The sequence below is a fragment of the Homo sapiens genome, chromosome 16 (assembly GCF_000001405.40).
Source record: "Homo sapiens chromosome 16, GRCh38.p14 Primary Assembly".
Taxonomy (NCBI): Eukaryota; Metazoa; Chordata; class Mammalia; order Primates; family Hominidae; genus Homo; species Homo sapiens.
In genome coordinates this window covers 23894883-23914220 of record NC_000016.10, presented here as the reverse complement: position 1 = coordinate 23914220, position 19338 = coordinate 23894883, and the positions used below count along the sequence as shown (strand labels likewise).

Here is a 19338-nt window from a genome sequence, read left to right as displayed (position 1 = left end):
CAACATAACAAGACCTCATCCCAAAAATAATAAAATAAAATGAAAATTAGCTGGGCAGGGAGGCACATGCCTGTAGTCTCAGCTACTTAGGAACTCGGGAGGCTGAAGCAAGATTGCTTGAGCCTGGGAATTTGAGGCTGCAGTGAGCTATGATTGTGCTACTGCACTCCAGCCTGGGCAACACAAGAGCCTGCCCCAAAAGAAAAGAAAAAAAAAACACAGCTTGGGGATATTTTCACATACTGGGGAGCATTCCCACCCCTACAACAGGATTGGAAAATGGGGGCCATCTCTGTCCCAAGGCAAATGGCACACAGGGGGCACAGCTTAAGCTAAGGAAACTCAGAGGAGCAGCAACAGTCCCTGGAGGGAGGGAGCCAAGTTCCCTATTCCTTTCGTGGAGCATACAGCCAAACATCACCTGCACAGGAATTCTGAGATGAAGGACAAAGAGGACTCAGGAGATTTTAAGAGATTCTTCAACCCTTCCTGCACTGAGCCAGAAAAGTCAGAAGAGCTTCCTTCCCCAGAAATGGAGCAGAGCCACAGCTTCATGCTTATTTTTTCCCCTCTCCTAAGATATCACCGTTCAGACTCAAGCTTTCAAGGCTAGCTAGTCTGATGTTAACCATTTTTGTCACATTATTCTCCTCCCGCACTCAGAAATGACTAGCTTGGCTTTCCCACTTCTACAACCTTGGGAAGAAGGGGAAGCTGAAGTTCAGAGCTCCAGGTCTGCCTTTTCACCCAATAGTGGGCACCATTGAAGGCTTATCTCCCCAGTGATATGATGTCTACACTGACTGCCTCCCTCACCCATGGCACTGGGACTCTATGATCCCCTCCTTGACTAAGCCTGGCCAGTCAGATTTTTTTTTTTTGACATGATTTGGGCCCAATAGGAGGAAGGTCGGTCTGGCTGAAGGAAAGGAAGAGAACTGGGAACTGGAAGACAGTTGGGTCTCCCCTTGTGTTCTCTCGGCTTCTCCTTGTCCATATTCATGGTTCTTGCCTCTCGGTACACCTGCTTTCCTGTTCCTTACTCTACATACTGGATGGAAGATGGCCTCCCAGGGCTGCCTGGTGTCCACCTCCTTGAACCTCAGCCTCCATTCTGAAGTCTGTGAAACAATCTGATTTGCCTGCAATCCCAGCATTTGGAGAGGTCAAGGTGGGCAGATCGCTTAAGCCCAGGAGTTCAAGACCAGTCTCTATAAAAAATACAACAATTAGCTGGGCGTGGTGGCACATATCTGTAGTCCCAGCTACTTGGGAGGCTGAGGCAGGAGGACAACTTGAGCCCAGGAGTTCGAGGCTGCAGTGAGCTTTGATTGCACCACTGCACTCCAGCCTAGGCAACAGAGCATGACTCCATATCAAAAAATAAATAAATAAATAAATAAATAAAGGCCAGGCACGGTGGCTCACACCTGTAATCCCAGCCCTTTGGGAGGCCAAAGAGGGTGGATCACCTGAGGTCAGGAGTTCGAGACCAGCCTGCCCAACAGGGTGAGACCCCATCTATACTAAAAATACAAAAATTAGCCGGGTGAGGTGGCACACGTCTGCAATCCCAGCTACTCTGGAGGCTGAGGCAGGAGAATCGCTGGAACCCAGGAGGCGGAGACTGCAGTGAGCCTAGATCACGCCACTGCACTCCAGCCTGGGCAACAGAGAGAGACTCTGTCTCAAAAAAAAAAAAAAAAAAAAAAAGAAGAAAGAAAGAAAGGAAAAGAAGAAGTTAACTAAACAGTAAAACCACAGGCAAAAAGTAACAGCAAGCAGGGCAAGCATCAGGACACGGGGCTGACCAAGATTCAGTAGAACAGGGGCCTCCAGGGAAGGTTCTGTTCATCAGCAGCTGTTCACCATTGATCAGGTGAGGCTGCACTATGAGAGGAACAATGGACTACTTGAATATAGATGCTACCCTCAAGTGGCTTATAGCAGAGGCAAAAGATTCTCCAACAAAATCATTAGTGAGTATAATAATATGAGGGGAAATGCAATTAAGGGTTAAACGGTAGATTCTAAGTGAAAGATGATCTCTGAAAAGTCCAGCTCCCTGGAGGGTATAAAGGGGTGGCGCAGTTAGGTACAGTGGCTCATGTCTGTAATCCCAGCGCTTTGGGAGGCGGAGGTGGGTGGATCACCTGAGGTCAGGAGTTCGAGACTAGCGTGGCTAACATGGCAAAACTCCGTCTCTACTAAAAATACAAAACTTAGCTGGGCATGGTGGTGCGCACCTGAAATCCCAGCTACTCGGGAGGCTGAGGCAGGAGAATCACCTGAACCCAGAAGGCGGAGGTTGCAGTGAGCCGAGATCCTGCCACTGCACTCCAGCCCGGGCAAACAGTGAGACTCCATCTCAAAAAAAAAAAAAAAAAAAAAAAATGTGGGTCGCGCATATCCCAGGACAAGACAAACGGCAGTATCTTTGAAGAAGGACATCTCATGTAAGACAGTTCAGAGGCCAGCGTGGCTGCACTGAGGCTCCTGGGAACAGAGGCACCACAGGCTGGAAAGGTGAGTGGGAAACAGTTGATGGAGGAGGTCATGTCCAAGCAGGATTTCTACTCTTCCATCACTGCAAACCACGTTTATGACGTTTGTCATGTCCACACACCATCTGCAATATGATTAATAGTTTTCTTTAAACTGACTTACTTTTCAACTTAAAGTCACTCAGGAAATGGCCTGCAAAAGTTAAACACAGAGCTCTTATAGGGCCCAGCAATTCCACTCCTAGGAAGACACCCAAGAGAATTGAAAACATGCTTATACAAAAAATTGGACCAGGCATGGTAGCGCATGCCTGTAATCCCAGCACTTTGGGAGGCCGAGGTGGGTGGATCACTTGAGCTCAGGAGTTGAAGAACAGCCTGGGCAATAAAGTGAGACCCTGTGTCTACAAAAAATAAACAAATCAGTTGGGCATAGTGGCACATGCCTGTAGTCCCAGCTATCTGGGAAGCTGAGGTGGAAGATGATCACTTGAGCCTGGGAGTTCAAGGCTGCAATGAGCTGTGATTGTGCCACTGCGCTCCAGCCTGGGTGACCTTGTCTCAAAAAAAAAAAAAAAAAAAAAAAAAGCATATATACGTTTATGGCTATTTATAACAGCCAAAAAGTGGAAACAACTCAAATGCTCACTAATTGATGAATAAATAGACAAAATATGGTCCATCCACCCAATGGAAAGTGATCTAACCATTAAGAGGAATGAGGTACTGATACATGCCTTGGATGAGCCTTGAAAACATTATTCTAAGAAGCCAGTCACAAAGGATCATTCATTGTATGATTCTATTTATACAAAATGTCTAGGATAGGCAAATCTACAGAAACGGAATTAGTTTGTTGGTTACCAGGGGCCGCAGGGAAGAGAGAAAAAAAATGGAGAGCGACTGCTAATGGGGTTCAGGGTTTCTTTCGGGGGTGATGAGAATGTTCTGGAATTAAATAGTGGTGATGGCTTACAACATTATAAATATGTTTAAAACCACTGAATTGTACATTTTAAATGGTTAAAATGTGAATTTTACATTATATGAATTTTATCTCAATTAAAACATTATTTTTAAATGGGATTAAAAAAATCAATATCTCTGAATATAACTCTAAGTTTCCCATGAAAATAAAACACAACGAGAACAAAATAATGTTAGTTCATTCTGGCTTGACATCATTGCCTAACGGCCCGAGCCTGAGACCTGCTCTGTTTCTGTTAGGATGGGGGTCTGGGAGAAAAAAGCACATCAGCACCAACCTGAGGCTTTCTCCTCAGCCCGATCAGAAGGATTTGAAGAGAACAGAAAAGGGACTATGTTTCCCACACAGTGATCTAGTGTTAATTAGTGCCAGGTCTTAAGTACCACCCCGTCCCCAAATCTCACCAGTGCACACCAGGCGCTTGGGGAAACTTTGCTCTAAAGGATGAAACCAATGTTGATGGCCGCCTTCTATGTGCTGGTCACTGCACTTGACTCTTTCCATCAAGTGACGTCATCTATCTCTTATGACAAGCTCTGGTCTCAAGCCCACAGAGACACTGGGAAGCCAGGAGGCAACTTGGAGCGGAAGAGGGACAAGTAAAGAGGAAGGTGACACTGTCAGCATGTTCAGGGTGTGCTGGAGGAGAAAACTCAACAAGAGGGGCAAAAGGTTTCACGACAATGCTCTTCCCCATGGCGGCACTGCTTCCTGCTATGGACTGAACGTGTTTGTCCTCTACAGATTAATTGGTTGAAGCCTAACCCCCCAGTGTGTTGCTTTTAGGAGGTGGGGCCTTTGGGAGGTGATTAGATCATGAGATTAGATCAGATCATGGAGACTTTCTGAATGGGATCAAGGCCCTTATAAGAAGGGACTCAAAATGGATGAAGCAAATGTGGTCTATATACACCACAGAATACTACTCAGCCATAAAAGGAATGAAATCGCATCTTTTGCAGCAATGTGGAAGGAACTAGAGGTCAATATTTTAACTGAAACAACTCAGAAACAGAAAGCCAAATACCGCATGTTCTCACTTACAAGTGGGAGCTTATAATGTGTGTGCACGGACATAGAGTGTGGAATGATAGTGACTTGGGAGGGTGGGAAGAGGGTGAGGGATGAGAAATTACTTAGTAGATACAATGTACATTATTTGGGTGATGGTTACTCAAAAAGCTCAGACTTCACCACCATGCAATATACCCATGTAATAAAACTGCACTTGAACTTAAATGTATGTGAATTTTTAAAAAGGGACATGAGAGAGCTGATTTCCTCTCTCTGCTCTCTGCCACGTGAGAATACAAGGAGAAAGAGGTTATCTATAAGCCAAGAGGAGGGTCTCGCCAAGAACCTCAGACCTCCAGCTCCAGAACTGTGAGAAAATACATTTCCGTCACTTAAGCCACCCATGGTTACAGCAGCCCAAACAAATGAAAGCACTTGTGATAGAGGAATGTGGAAGAAAACTGATAAAAAGCAGGAGGGTGTTGGTTCCGTGAAATGTGGCCTATTTACCCAGTCCAATAATTTGTGCCCATTAAAAACCTGTCCCAGAAAGGTATCTACTAACAAGGAAGCGAATCATGAACTTCGAAGTGAAAAGAGCAAGTGATATCAGGTTTGCAGTACAGATCCATTCATTACACAGTTACTGAGTGCCAACTGTTCGCCTAGCTCTGTAAACAAAACAAAACAAACCCCTGCCTTCACAAAGCTGGTGTCCCAGTGGGTGTGCAGGGAGCATGCTAAGGACGTGCAGAGGAAACTGGACAGCGTTTATGGAGGTGGCCACTGGGTGGGTGACACCACGCTGTTCTTCACTCTCTTCCTTTTGCTCACCTCTATTTTTTGGTTTTCTATATTGAGTGGGTGAGGAGTGTTTTGAAATAAAGGGAAAGCCCAGGCTGGGCGCGGTGGCTCACGCCTGTAATCCCAGCACTTTGGGAGGCTGAGGCGGCTGGATCATGAGGTCAGGAGATCGAGATCACGGTGAAACCCCGTCTCTACTAAAAATACAAAAAAAAAAATTAGCTGGGCACGGTGGTGGGCACCTGTAGTCCCAGCTACTCGGGAGGCTGGAGAATGGCATGAACCCGGGAGGCGGAGCTTGCAGTGAGCCGAGATGGCGCCACTGCACTCCAGCCTGGGGCGACAGAGCGAGAATCCGTCTCAAAAAAAAAGAAATAAAGGGAAAGCCCAAATCTTACAGCAAGGCACCCAAGGCACTCCTGAGTTCTGGCTCTCTATCTCCCAACATAACCTGCACCTGTGTTAGAGCCGCACCTGGGGAGGACGCTCAGGTGGTGCCACATGCTCCACACAGGTGTCTTGCAAAAGCTGTTCATCTGCTGGAGTTGCCCTCCCCATATTCTCTGCCTGGCCTATAAAACCCCCATTCACCCACTAATGCAACTTCCCAAGGGGACCTCCTTCTTCAAATCACTCCTACCTACCTCCACCCAACTCAGCAACAATCCTTTTTCCCTCTGCAGCACTGTCATAAAGAATCCCCGCCGCCCCAGCTCTCACCAATCTCCAGAGGCCTTGCTCAAACCTCAGCCAGCTCCTCTCTGTGTTTTCCTCCTTCCCCCAGCTCCCAGGGATTCCACCCACTTCCCTCTCCTCTTCCATCTCACTCCCACACCTCCCTCGTCTAGATGGACTTTCTCTCCCCACCTGCTGCCCCAAATCTCCGAATAGACACGTGTGCTTCCTGCTGCCCCCAACAATACACCCATGGACTCTTTTACTCCTAAGAAAAATAAGACAATAAACCGATATGCTGTTAAATCACAAAACATCTGCCACCTCCGGTTCTCAGAGTCATTGTTCCTGGATCCATGGCCAGGCCTTGTTGTCTGGGGGTGTGGTTAGCAGGGGGAATGGCTAGGCTCCCAGGCAGGTCCTAGGGAGTTTTGCAAGATTCACCTGTAGGGCTAGGTGGGAACCTCTGTTCCTCCCGGAGTCGACCGGTATGGTTCCACCCTTTCCCCACAGACCCCACACTCATACCAGAAATCTGGGTGTTCTGGTCTCTGAGATAGATAGGCACCTCCCTTCCTGCCTCCCAGACATCTGGAGCCATTGATACTGCTGATGACAGACTCTCAGAACAAGAAAGGGCCTCACATGCATCTAATCAACGGTCTGTTCAGGCTGGGCACAGTGGCTCACGCCCATAATCCCAGTGCTTCAGGAGGCCTAGGCAAGAGGATTGCTTGTGGCCAGCAGTTTGAGACCAGCCTATGCAACATAGTAAGACCCTGTCTCTACAAAAACTAAAAAATTAGCTGGGCATGTGGTATAGTCCTAGCTTCCCCAGAGGCTGAGGCAGGAGGATGGCTTGAGCCAGGAATTTGAGGCTGCAGTGAGCTATGATCACATCATGCACTGCATGGGCAACGGAACAAGACCCTGCCTCTGTTTAAAAGAAATGGATGGGAGGTCTGCTCGACCCAGGCTTGATAAAGCAGTAATTCTCAACTGAAGATGATTTTGCCACCCAGGGCAATGTTTGGAGACATTTTTGATTGTTACAAATCAGGGTGAAGTTAATACTGGTGTATACTGGGTAGAGACCAAGGATGCTGCTAAACATCCTACACTACATGGGACAGGCTCCAACAAAGACCTATTCCACCCCCCAATGTCAATAATGCCAAGGTTGAGAAATCTTGCTGTAACTAAATTCCTCCCAGCACGGGACACTCACTTTCCCCCACCCCAACCCTGTCCCCACCCAGGAAACCCACTGTTCCTACACAGAGTATTTCTGGTTTAATAAATTGCGGTTATCCTTCAGGTCAGGATCTTTGCCTCTAGTCAGCTGAAACCCCCTAAAATCCTTGCTGCCTAGCTGGCACTGGAGGCTGTCAGAAAATGAGTATAAAATCCCTCCTCCACAATTTAATATATGATAAAGGCAGCATTTCAATTCTGTGGGAAGCGATGGATTATTCAATAAATGGTATTGGGACAACTGGCTGGCCATCTGGTAAAAAATAAAGCTAGATCCTCACCTCCCTCCTAAAACCAAAATAAATTCCAGATGGATTAAAGATTTAAATGCAAAAAAAAAGAAGTTAAAGTAGTAAAAGAAAATATGGGAGAATTCCTCTATAATCTCATTGAGTAAGAGGCCTTTCTAAGCAAGACACAAAATGTAGAATATGTGGAAGAAAAGACTCATAAATTGACTACTGAGGAATTTTTTAATGTCTACAGAGTTTAAAAAATCCATAATAAATCACTTTTTCAAAGTTAAACACCAATTTTATAAATTACATTATATATAAAACATATGCCAGGCTAACAGACATGTTCTTTCACAAACAAAAACCGGTTAAAAATCAATAAGTAGAAAAAAATAGGCAAAAAAGAAGAAGCAGTTCACAGAAAAAGAAATAGAGCTTTCAAACATAAAAATGTTCTCATAAGCAAAGAGATGTAAATTAAGATGATAGCGAGATACTAGTTTTTCACTGATCAGATTGGCAAAATGAAAAAGTTTGATAATATTCTATGTTGGTAAGGAGATGGGGAACAAGCTGTCTGAGGGAAGTGTGAACAGATCCTGTACAGAAAGCAATTCAGCAACATCAATCCACATTTTAAAGCACATATCCTCCGTCCTCATGATTCCAATGCGACACCTATCCTTGCACGTCGTCAAACCCACAGAGGTAAACATATATAGGAATGCTCACTACCTTATTGTTTATAATAGCTAAAGACTCTCAACAGCACCAATGTCGATCATCAGGGGACTGGTTAAATACATTATGCATCATAAAAGGGAATGCTAGGAAACCCTTAGAGGAGTATGAGGCAGCTCTATGTATCAATCCCCATGAGACATTATTAAAAGGAAAAGCTACATATGAAACAACACTATAATATATTTCCACTTATGTGAAGAAAAATGGGGTGGGTACAGAGTCAATCACTCATTCAACCCATATTTATTAAGCACCTACAATGTCCTAAGCACTGTTCTAGGTGATGGGAATTCTACCAGGAGTAAGTCTGCCAAGATATCCATAGGTTGCACATGCTTGGAAAATTACTGGAAGAAAATACAGGAAACTGGTTCTAGGAGACTCTCTGGAGTTGTCAGATTTAGCAAATAAAACTACAGAATGCCCAGTTAAACCTGAATAGCACATAAACAACAAATAGTGTTTTAGGATAAGTTGGTGCTATGCAATATTTGGGACATACTTATACTAAAAAGGTGTTCCTTGTTTACCCAAAATGCAGACTGAACCAGGCATCCTGTTAACTGGGCAACCTATTCTGGGGGTGAGGAGTGAAGTTCTGGGGAATGAAGCATCTACCACAGGAGAGAGATATCCTCTTCAAGCTACTGTGTGTTGTAACACATTGTACTGTTTGCCATTATAACCGGGAGGATGCACTGCTTGTGTTGTTATTTATTTAACGACACGAATGAGTAAGAAGAGAGAAGAAATTCCACAGACGTAAGGCCAAACTCAGTGCAAGCTGCAAAGTGCATTCCTCGCCAGCTCAGCTCACAGAGTCAGCCTGGCAGCCCTGCGGCCACATTCCAGGGCCGGCTGCTTCTCTAAATGGAAGCAATGGATCCCACACTCTAGCAGTAAGTCAGCAAGCAAGACTCCGAGCTGTGCTATTTTTTTTTTATTAAAAAAAAAAAAAAGAAAAAAAAAGGACCAATGCAAAGAAAGAAATGTAGAAAACAGTGAAGAGAAGAAAACACCAGAAACACCAGGCATGCTAAAAGCTGGCCTTTTCCATGACAATACGGAGAAATAAAACATCAGATTTCTTAAAAAGCCTGGTTTTAAGGATCTCTTGGGCCTCTCAGATCATCTCCATCTGTCCTTGCCTCTTTCTTAGGGGAGATTTTACCACTCAAAGAGGAAAAGTGCCTTTTATGTAAAAATCCCCCAACTTTTAAATCCCAAATATTTTGAGTACTACCAATAACTGACATGTATAAAGCACTGAAGCACTTACTATATGCTAGATACTCTTCTAAGTGTTGTGGTTTTTTGTTGTTGTTGTTGTTGTTCTTTTGAGATGAAGACTCGCTCTGTCACCCAGGCTGGAGTGCAGTAGTGCGATCTCAGCTCACTGCAACCTTCACTTCCCGGGTTCAAGCGATTCTTCTGCCTCAGCCTCCCAAGTAGCTGAAATCACAGGCACCCACAACCATGTCTGGCTAATTTTTGTATTTTTAGTAGAGATGGGGTTTCGCCATGTTGGCCAGGCTGGTCTTGAACTCCTGGCCTCAAGCAATCCACCTGCCTCAGCCTCCCAAAGTGCTGGGATTACAGACATGAGCCACCACGCCCAGCTTCCTCTAAGTGTTTTAGCCAATACTGACATATTTAATTCTTTCAACAACCCCAAGAGATAGATGCTATTATCACCCCTCTTGCACCTATGTGGAAAATGAGGCACAGAGTGGCTTGACAATTAGCAGAAATCACACAGCTGGAACATAGGAAATCTGGGATTTGAGCCCAAGTAATCTGACCCTAGAGCCCACCCCCTTAGCTGCAGGCCAGGTTCATCCTGGGTACCCTTGGTGAACAAGGTAGACACACCCCCTGCCATCGTGGCCCTTATAGCTCATGAGGGAATCTAGCTATTCACAAGGAAATAGACAAGCTAATGGCAAACAGTGCTAAGTTCTAGGGCAGACACAAACGAGGACTTGAAATAGACCACATATTCATTTAGTCGACACATATTTAATAAGACCACATATTCATTTAGTCGACACATATTTAATAAGGGCCTATGGTGTGCCAGCGTCGTTGCAGACACCAGAGGATGGAGCAGTGGATGAAACAGAGATCCTTAACCTCATGAAGCTTACCATCCTAATCAATATCCAGAAGGAACTTGAAACAGGATGTTAGCAAGGGCCTGTCAAAGGGGGAGACATTTAAGTTGAGACTAGAGTGAGAGCTCACCATGTAAAGAGAAGAAAAAGTATTCCAGGCAGTGGGAACCACTTTCTGCAAAGACCCTGGGTGGAAAGAGTTTCAGTTTCTCCTATCTCCAAGAACAATTCCACTGCTGCTTTCCCCTCTCCGGCATTCTCCTCTTCTCCATCCAAAACCCATAGTTAAAAGCGTATTTTAATACTCTCTTCCCTCCCAGCTATCTGAAAGATCTAGGGTAGAAATCATTTACTTTCTCATATTCCCAAGGCATGTGCTTGCTAATTAATCAAAGTATTATTTATTGTGACTAACAAAATTAAGGCATTTCTGATTGTTCATGCTCTGATGAAGCTTTGAGAATCTTTGCTGCTGTTAGGGGGGAAATGATGTGGTAATACCAATCCCCAGATGTACGGAGCAGACCTGTCTCCATACGCTTAGAAAAAACTAGGACAGAAACCAGGAGAATCTCTATCACTCCCCCACACACACGTGGGTGCACACACACACACACACACACACACACTTAAGTTCCCTTCCGGATCCTACTCACAAAAGCCTGGGGCCATGTATTTTTGTCCTGAGCAGGACAACAAAAGCGGGGCTCTTTACCACAGCTCTGAGTCAGGGGAGGGTTTAGAAATAACATAAGTAGGCTGGGCGTGGCAGCTCACACCTGTAATCCCAGAACTTGGGGAGGCTGAAGCAGGAGGGCTCCTGAGGCCAGGAGTTTGAGACCAGCCATGCAACATAGCAAGACTTTGTCTCTACAGAAAAAGGAAAAAAAAAAAAAAAGAAAAGAAAAAACTAAAAATTAGGTAGACATGATGGCTTATGCCTGTAGTCAAAGCTACTCAAGAAGTTGAGGTGGGAGGATGGCTTGAGCCCAGTAGTTCAAGGTTACAGTGAACTACGATCGTGACACTGCACTCCAGACTGGGTGACAGAGTGAGACCCTATCTCAAAAAAAGGAAGGAAGGAAGGAAGGGAGGGAGGGAGGGAGGAAGGAAGGAAGGAAGGAAGGAAGGAAGGAAGGAAGGAAGGAAGGAAGGGAGGAAGGGAGGGAGGGAAAAACTTTTGAGCTCAGTTCCTGAACGCATTATCATCAAGAGATGACAGTTACCATCATTACTGTGCAGATAATAATGGTGAGGGGTGAGAGACTGGAGCCAGACAACTTAGGTTTCGAACACTAGCTAGAGTCTAGCTGAGCCTCAGCTTCCCCGTCTGTAAAATGGGGACTGCTATAACAGTGCTTATTCCTCAAAGGATGCTGAAAGGGTCAAATAAACAACTGCAGGAAAATGATATAGAATAGAGCTCGGTACAGAATAAGTATTATACTAACTTAATTGTTAACCTCAAAATGGTAGGGGCAAAGGCATCACAGTTGCATAAGATGTTAGCATTAGGGGGAAACTTTGGGTGAGGGGTATGCAGTGGAACTCTCTGTAAATGTTTTGCAACTTTTCTAAAAATCTGAAATTATTCCAAAAATTAAAAGGTTATTTTTTCTAAAGGCAGGGGCAAATGTTTTTTCATTGTCTTCTTGGATCTTCTCCCTTATAAGGAGAAAAATCCAAGTTTCAGAAAATATATGGCATTGTCCATACAGATAAGAGCCCCACCCCACCCTACATACCCTCCAGTTTCCCCCAAGCTGCCCTCTGTCTGCTGGGTGAGGCTGTTTATCAACTGGCTTTGAGTTAAAATCAAATCTCTTCCTGGGGGTAAAAATTCCAACAGACCCAGACCTACAACTGCCATCAAGTTTTCTCTTTCTTTCAGTGAATATTTTTTCAGTGCCTACTGTGTACCAGGTACCAATCCAGTAGCAGTGAAACCATAACGAACAAGGCACACACACTCAGCCACAGTGTCTGTCTGCACCAGCTCTGAGATGTCTGCACCAGCTCTGAGACTTCCAGTGTGTATTTGCAAACCCAGACTGACTTTTATGGCCTCCAATGTTGGGGAATGATCATTGCAGGGTGTCTTCTTGACCACTCGAATTTTTGGGACCTCAGAGAAAATGCTGCCACCAGCCAATTCCCACAAGACACTTCAGGGAAGAGAACCTCACAGTCTCAGACAACAGGCTGCAACTCCTGGGGAACCTGAACAGGCTGGTTGCTGGGCAGGCCTGGTAGAATTAACCCAACTTCCCATTTCATTCCTACTTGACATTCCAGAGAGATGGGCTGGAGAAATCTGCCTTGTCTGTCTTTAAAAGAAGACATTTCTCCCACGGCTTCCTCCTCTTCGAATTCCCTCATCTATCCATCTACTCTCACTCCCCTTCCGCTCTCAAAGCTGTTTCCTGCTGATAAAAACACCCCACAACTTCCAGTCTGCGTAGTGAGATTGCAGCCAGCAGGCTCTAAATGCCGACATACTCCCAATCAAGCAGCAGGCGCCCCCGTTGAGTTAACGATTTTTTTTAAGCAAGAGAACCCATGCTGTCTACTTACCCTTAGGATACAGCCCATTGGGAGAGGGGGTGGGTATGATCGATCATAAAGGACTGGCTGCAGAGAGAGAGGCTCTTGCTGTGCTGTATGAACTATAGGCAATTTGCAAAGATTATATCCCAAACGCTCACGTGCTCAGAGCCCCAGGATGACAGACACAATTAATATTTTTCAAACTATCCTTGGCAATTGTGTTTTGATTAGGAAAAAAAATTAATCTTGTAGATTAGAGAGAGCTGTTCCAGTGTGGGGGAGAGACAGAAGTGACCCTATCAGCTCAGGATCCCCATAGGAGAGGGGGCGGTCAAGAAGGACTAGAAATGGGTCACATGATGAATGCACGGTGCACAGGATCAGACATCACTGCAGAAATCTCTAGCCAAATTTAAAATGCACATGCCATCTTAACCTAGAAATTCCTCTTGCAGGATTTTGGATTACAGACGTACTTGCACATGTGTGTCCACAGTTAGGTACAAGGAGATCCACTCCAGCACTGTTTGTTATGCAAAAGACTAGAAATAACCTATGCCCATCAACAGAAGACCGTATGGGACAGCCACAAAAAAAAAAAAAAAAAAAAAAAAAAAAAAAACCTGTGCAGCTGTTAAAATGAATGAGGCTGCTCTATATGCGCTGATATGAAAATATCTCTAAGATACGTCATCACATAGGAAAAAAAAAGGCAACAAGGAAAAAAATATGTGTGAGGTGCTACTAAGGGTATAAGGTTCATATGCGGAATGTCTCTCTACTAATATATAGGAGACTAATGACAGTAGTACTCCTCCAGAGAACTGAAGACTTGAGGACAGAAGTGGAATGGGGAGATTCTTTATTCACTGTATACCTTGTTGTACCTGTAGGATTTCAAACTTTGCATTGTATATTCAAAAACAAATTATTTCAATTGATAATACAGAGGTAAAAATACCTAGGAAAGGAAGATAAAGGTTTTATCCCTTTATATCTACACATTCATGCACACACATGTACAAACACACAATTTCCTGTACACAGTGATAACTGCATAAGAATTGATATCTCTCGGCTTTATGGAAGTGGTATGTCATAAGCAGTTAGATCAAGGTTTCTCAACCATGGCACTGTGGACACTGTGGACTGGTCAATTCTTTGTTGTGAGGCTGTCTTGTATATTTTGTTCAGTAGCATCCCTGGCCTCTACCCACTAGATTCCAGTAGCAACCCCCACCACCCCAAGTTGTGACAAACAAAATGTCTCCAGACATTGCCAAATACCACCTGGGGGCAAAATCACTTGAGTTAAATTATGGGTCCTAAAGAGTAATAACTGTGTCTTCCTTATTTCCTTCTCTCTCCATACCTAACTGTAATCCCTGCACTTTGGGAGGCTGAGACAGGAGGATCACTTGAGGCCAGGAGTTCGAGACCAGCCTGAGCAACATAGCAAGGCCCTATCTCTACAATAAATAAATAAATAAATAAATAAATAAATAAATAAATAAATAAATAAATAAATAAATTTTATTTGCTGGGCCTGGTGGCACGTGCCTACGGTCCCAGCTCCTCAGAAGGCTGAGGTGGGAGGATCGCATGAGCCCAGGATTTTGAATATAGTGAGCCATGGTCGCATCACTGCACTCCAGCCCAGGTGACAACAAACCACACACACACACACACACACACAGAGAGAGAGAGAGAGAGAGAGAGAGAGAGAGAGAGAGAGAGTTCTTATGGATAAGTAATTACAAATGAACAAAAGTAATTTACAAAGCTTGTTTCAAACGTATATACATGCAAAGTTTGGTACTGGGGCTTCTTGAATGCTGAGATGGCATTTCCACCATTCTGTTTCCTCTGGTAAGTTGCTGTTTGACATTTTTAACAGAGAAATGGCCCTGATCCTCAGCAGAGAGATCTGGGGGAGATGTCTTCCCAAGAGTTAAAGAACAGGGAATGTACTGGTCTTACAATGGATAAGGAATGGAATGTACTGTTTCCCTTAAACTGTCCTTGATAATTATTACCTTGACCTTCCATGCTCTCTGTGATGCCAACCAATGTTGCAAATGCCAATCACTGATCCCAATGTGCCTGCTGCCTGAAAGCCAAGCTGTGGCTGGCATCTCTGCCCCTCTTTCTGTGGGAGCGGAGGGAGAAGCACTTGTTTCACTCATCTGCTGAATAGCAGACTTCCAAGAGTTCTACTTCTGCAGAAACTCCAAGAGTGACCTCAACATAGAAATCATCAACAGGGTCCAAGGCAAGCCCTGAGATGCAACACGAACTTTTTCTCACCCAATACCATTCATAAAAATAACAGTCACAACGGCTGTCTCTTAAACACTTCCTATGGTCCAGGCATAGACCTAAGGATTTCCCAGACGTTACTTCATTGGCGCCTCAGAAGAACCTGATGAAGTATACACGATCACTATCACCCCATTTTATAGATGCATAGACCAAGGTGCAAGGAGTTTAGATGATTTGATCAAAACCACACAGTTAAGGATCGCATGGTCCCTGGCAAATAGGCGGTCCTCCTTCAGTAGTAGTTGCCATTGTTACTCATATTATTATTTTGTTATGTATTTTTACCTCCCTTGATGTGGCCATGCCCCTTCCTATCCCAAGGCCTTCACACTGGCTGTGCCCTCTGCCTGGGATGCTTTTCTGCCAATCTTCACCTAGTTTTTGTTTAAACTTCATTTTGTCAAGAAAGAGTTCTCTGGCCCTCAAAATGAGACCGATAGCCTTAATACACATGCTCACCTACCCCATTCTTCTCATTTGTAATACTTATCATAACTGTAATTGTATTATTACCTGTGTAATTATTTGCTTGTCTGTCTCCCTACTAGATGGCAAGCTCTATGATGGGAGGATTGTCTAATTTACTGGCCACTGGATGAGAACCCAGCACAGTACTTAGCACACAACAGGCACTCAATTAAATATTAGACAGGGTCCAGTGCGGTGGCTCACGCCTATAATCCCAGCACTTTGGGAGGCCGAGATGGGCGGATCACTGGAGGTCAGGAGATCAAGACCATCCTGGCTAACAAGGTGAAACCCTGTCTCTACTAAAAATACAAAAAATTAGCGAGGTGTGGTGGTGGGCGCCTGTAGTTCCAGCTACTCGGGAGGCTGAGGCAGGAGAATGGCGTGAACCTGGGAGGCGGAGCTTGCAGTGAACCGAGATCGCACCACTGCACTCTGGCCTGGGCGACAGAGCAAGACTCTGTCTCAAAAAAAAAAAAAAAATTAGCCGGGCATGGTGGTGCATGTGCCTGTAATCCCAGCTACTCAGGAAGCTGAGGCAGAAGAATCGCTTGAGCCTGGGAGGCGGAGGTTGCAGTGAGCCGAGATCACGCCATTGCACTCCAGCCTGGACAACAGAGCAAGACTCCATTGCAAAATAAATAAATAAATAAATAACATAAATAATATAAATATTAAATAGATATATGGATGGGTGGGTGGATGGGTGGATGGATGGATGGATGGGAGAGAGGGAAAGAGAAATGGCAGAAGAAAGGGCAAATGACTGAACAAATGATTTAACTTTAAAGATATATAGAGTGTTGAGAGATCAAGTAGTCCAGTCTTCTCCGCATTTCACAGCTAAAGACAGTAAGGTTCTTGGAGGTTAGAGTCAAATCACACAGGATCCAGTACCAGAACTTAGTCAGTTGCAGATAACTGGTCAGTTCCAGGAACTGGAGGGCATAAGCTGCCAGGTGACAGCTAGATGAACAAACAACGTGCCTAAGAGAACCCACCAACAGGTGACAGCTGCCTTTGGTTAGGGTTCCAGCCACTATAATGTGTGCATTAAAATTCACCCCAAATACCTGTTTTCCAGACTTATAAAATTGATCTGATTATCCCTTCACAAAGTCTGAAAAAGCAAAAAAAATAATTTTTTCACACATCAGCGAGCTGTAGTGTTTATATTCAAAATGCCCTTGCAAACCCACAGGAAACACTGTTCTTGTGTATCATGTCACAGCACGAAGTCCCCACTTCCTTCAGGGGAAAGAATAAAGCCATCTGGCAGGAATTGTTCTCAGCTCTTTCCCACTGCGTCCCTCCCTGCTCAGAGCTCTACAGAGCACAGCACGTGTGCCTTCCCCATGCCCCTGGCCCATCCCACTCCATGAGAAGTACCAGCTTTATTATCATGGGCCCTCCATCCCATGTACACAACTAGGCTCTACTCTCCAGGAGGTGCTTGTATTATTTGTGATCAACACCTGGCACAGGGTCTGGCACACAGTAGGCACTCAATGACTGCTTATTGGATGGATGGATGAATGGATAGATGGATGAGTGGGTGGGTGAATGGATGGATGGATGGGTGGGTAGATGGGTGGGTGGATGGATGGATGAATGGATGGATGAGTGGATGGATGGATGGATGGATGGATGGATGGATGGATGGATGGTTGGATGGATGGATGAAGAGCCTTCCAGCTGACTCTTCAGAGGCATTTTCCAATCCTTCATTTGGTTTTGCCTATAAGAGATTAACTTCACTTGTGTGCATTCCTTTAATTCAAAAGCTAATTGTTGAGTATTTAAAAATAATTTCTATGAAAACATTAGGATAAGGCTCTTTCCCCTTTCAAGCCCTTTGCATATGCTAGTCCTTCTGCCTGGAATGCCTTTCTTCCTTCCTCTCTTCACACAGCTAATGCCACTTCTTAAGCTGCCAGCATAAATGTCACCTTCACAAAAAGCATCCCCTCATTAAACTTGCTAAATAGATACTCACATGCACGTTCACTAATCTCTCCTTGAGACCCTTATTGGTTTCCTTTATATCTGCTTTAATTTGTCATCTATTTTTGTGTCTCTAATTTTGTGAATCTAAATGTAGATTCAGTGAAGACACAGACCAGGTTTACATCAAATACGTTTCTCTCAGACCCTAGCACAGTGTCTGCATACAGTATGTTTTCAATAAATATTTGTTGATTGAATTAATGAATCAATCAATTAATTCAATAAGAGGGAAATGGGTCCAAAAAACATAAAAAGTGAGTAATGAAGTAAGTTTGAGAGTCACATCTTTAAAAAAGTCTTGAATTGCATGAAATAATGCATGTGTCAATAGCAATTCATGGGAAATCAAATATATTTATTTTTTTTCATAAATTCTGGTTCTAAAATCTTCAAAGGCAGGAAAGTGGATTGGGAGAAGAAAGAAGTAAACACTTGCCAAATGCTGTGTCTTGCAAAAAAAAAAAATGTGAATGGATTGAATTATCCCATTAAAGGACAAAGATTCATAATTTAAAGAAAAAATAGAATTCAAATATACATGGTTCCCATGAGACTTGCTGAAAATAAAATGATCCAAAATGAAAATGAAAAGGTGGGAAAAGCTGCCATGAGCAGAAATATTAATTATCAGACAAATAAAATGTAAAGCATAAAAATATTACATAGGACAAAGATGGATATTTTGTATTCATAAAGAGTACATCAATAATAACAATATAACCAATAGCAGTGTGTGTTCCATGTGCCTGGCACTATGATGAGCACTTAACATCAATTATATCATTTAATTTAAGTATTAAAAATAAGCAACACTGGCATTATTATCACCAAGCTTTTAGGAGAATCTAAAACTGGTTCATCATTTGGTAGGCAGCACAGGAGAATTTGAACTCAGATCTGAGTAACTTCACAATAAGACTGGAGAATCATGAAACTCTAACTCCTATAACATAAAAGTACATTAGAAATGTACAAAACAAAATTTGTTTAAAAAAATACAAAGGTGTTGAAAAATCACTATCATAGTAGGAGACGAGCATACTATCCAATTTTTGACAAATCAGTAGATATAATTGAAAGTACATAGGGACATTTAGCTCAAGAAACTAGGAAGAGTGATAAAACTGAGGAAATAATTAAAAAGCAGAAATTAATGCATCTGGAAACAGAAAAAAGTTGAACTGAAGAATAAATTTAAGAGGTGGTTGTTTGAGGGGAAAAATAAAACAGTGACACTCTGGCAAAGCTCATAAGAAAATTTTCAAAAACTAAAAATAGGAACTCAGTAAGAATGAGAAAAGAGAATTGCAGATGGCAAGGCAATTTTTCACATCATTACAGGACAATATATATAGTTTTATGCTAATAAATTAGAGACTCAATTAAATGCTTATTCTTAAAAAAACATAACACATTTGAAAGTATACCAAAAATGATCATGAAATACACCAGAAAAAATTATCAAATAACTAATCTTGGAAAAGGCACCAGGCCCAGAAATTGTTTTGCTTTGGGGGTATGGTAAATCCACTCAAACTTCTAAAAAATATTCTAAATCCTTTGCCATTTATGCTCTTCCTAAGCATTAAAAAACAAGAAAAGATGGAAGACTTCCCAGATGTTTTGATGAAAATAGCAAAAACTTGTCAAAGACAGCAAAC

At 43.4% G+C, this 19338-nt stretch overlaps 1 protein-coding gene across 3 annotated transcripts in view, besides 3 other annotated features; it reads right to left on the bottom strand.

Annotated features, from left to right (window-relative positions):
- Window positions 1-19338, bottom strand: part of PRKCB (protein kinase C beta) — a 384629-nt gene that overhangs the window by 306391 nt on the left and 58900 nt on the right. The window lies entirely within an intron of this gene.
- Window positions 9931-10116: a silencer, noted in NCBI's record as "fragment chr16:23915426-23915611 (GRCh37/hg19 assembly coordinates)". NCBI's record gives its function as "represses an EF-1alpha promoter that drives an FKBP-Casp9 reporter gene in an ReSE screen in HepG2 liver carcinoma cells {active_cell/tissue: HepG2}" and the evidence as "EXISTENCE:reporter gene assay evidence [ECO:0000049][PMID:32094911]".
- Window positions 12686-12830: an enhancer, noted in NCBI's record as "145 bp enhancer 73 fragment used in the MPRA reporter construct; PK_construct_4167". NCBI's record gives its function as "activates an SV40 promoter by MPRA in K562 cells {active_cell/tissue: K562}" and the evidence as "EXISTENCE:reporter gene assay evidence [ECO:0000049][PMID:23512712]".
- Window positions 12750-12767: a transcriptional cis regulatory region, noted in NCBI's record as "GATA motif; enhancer activity is reduced when this motif is scrambled". NCBI's record gives its function as "necessary for full MPRA enhancer 73 activity {active_cell/tissue: K562}" and the evidence as "EXISTENCE:site-directed mutagenesis evidence [ECO:0005528][PMID:23512712]".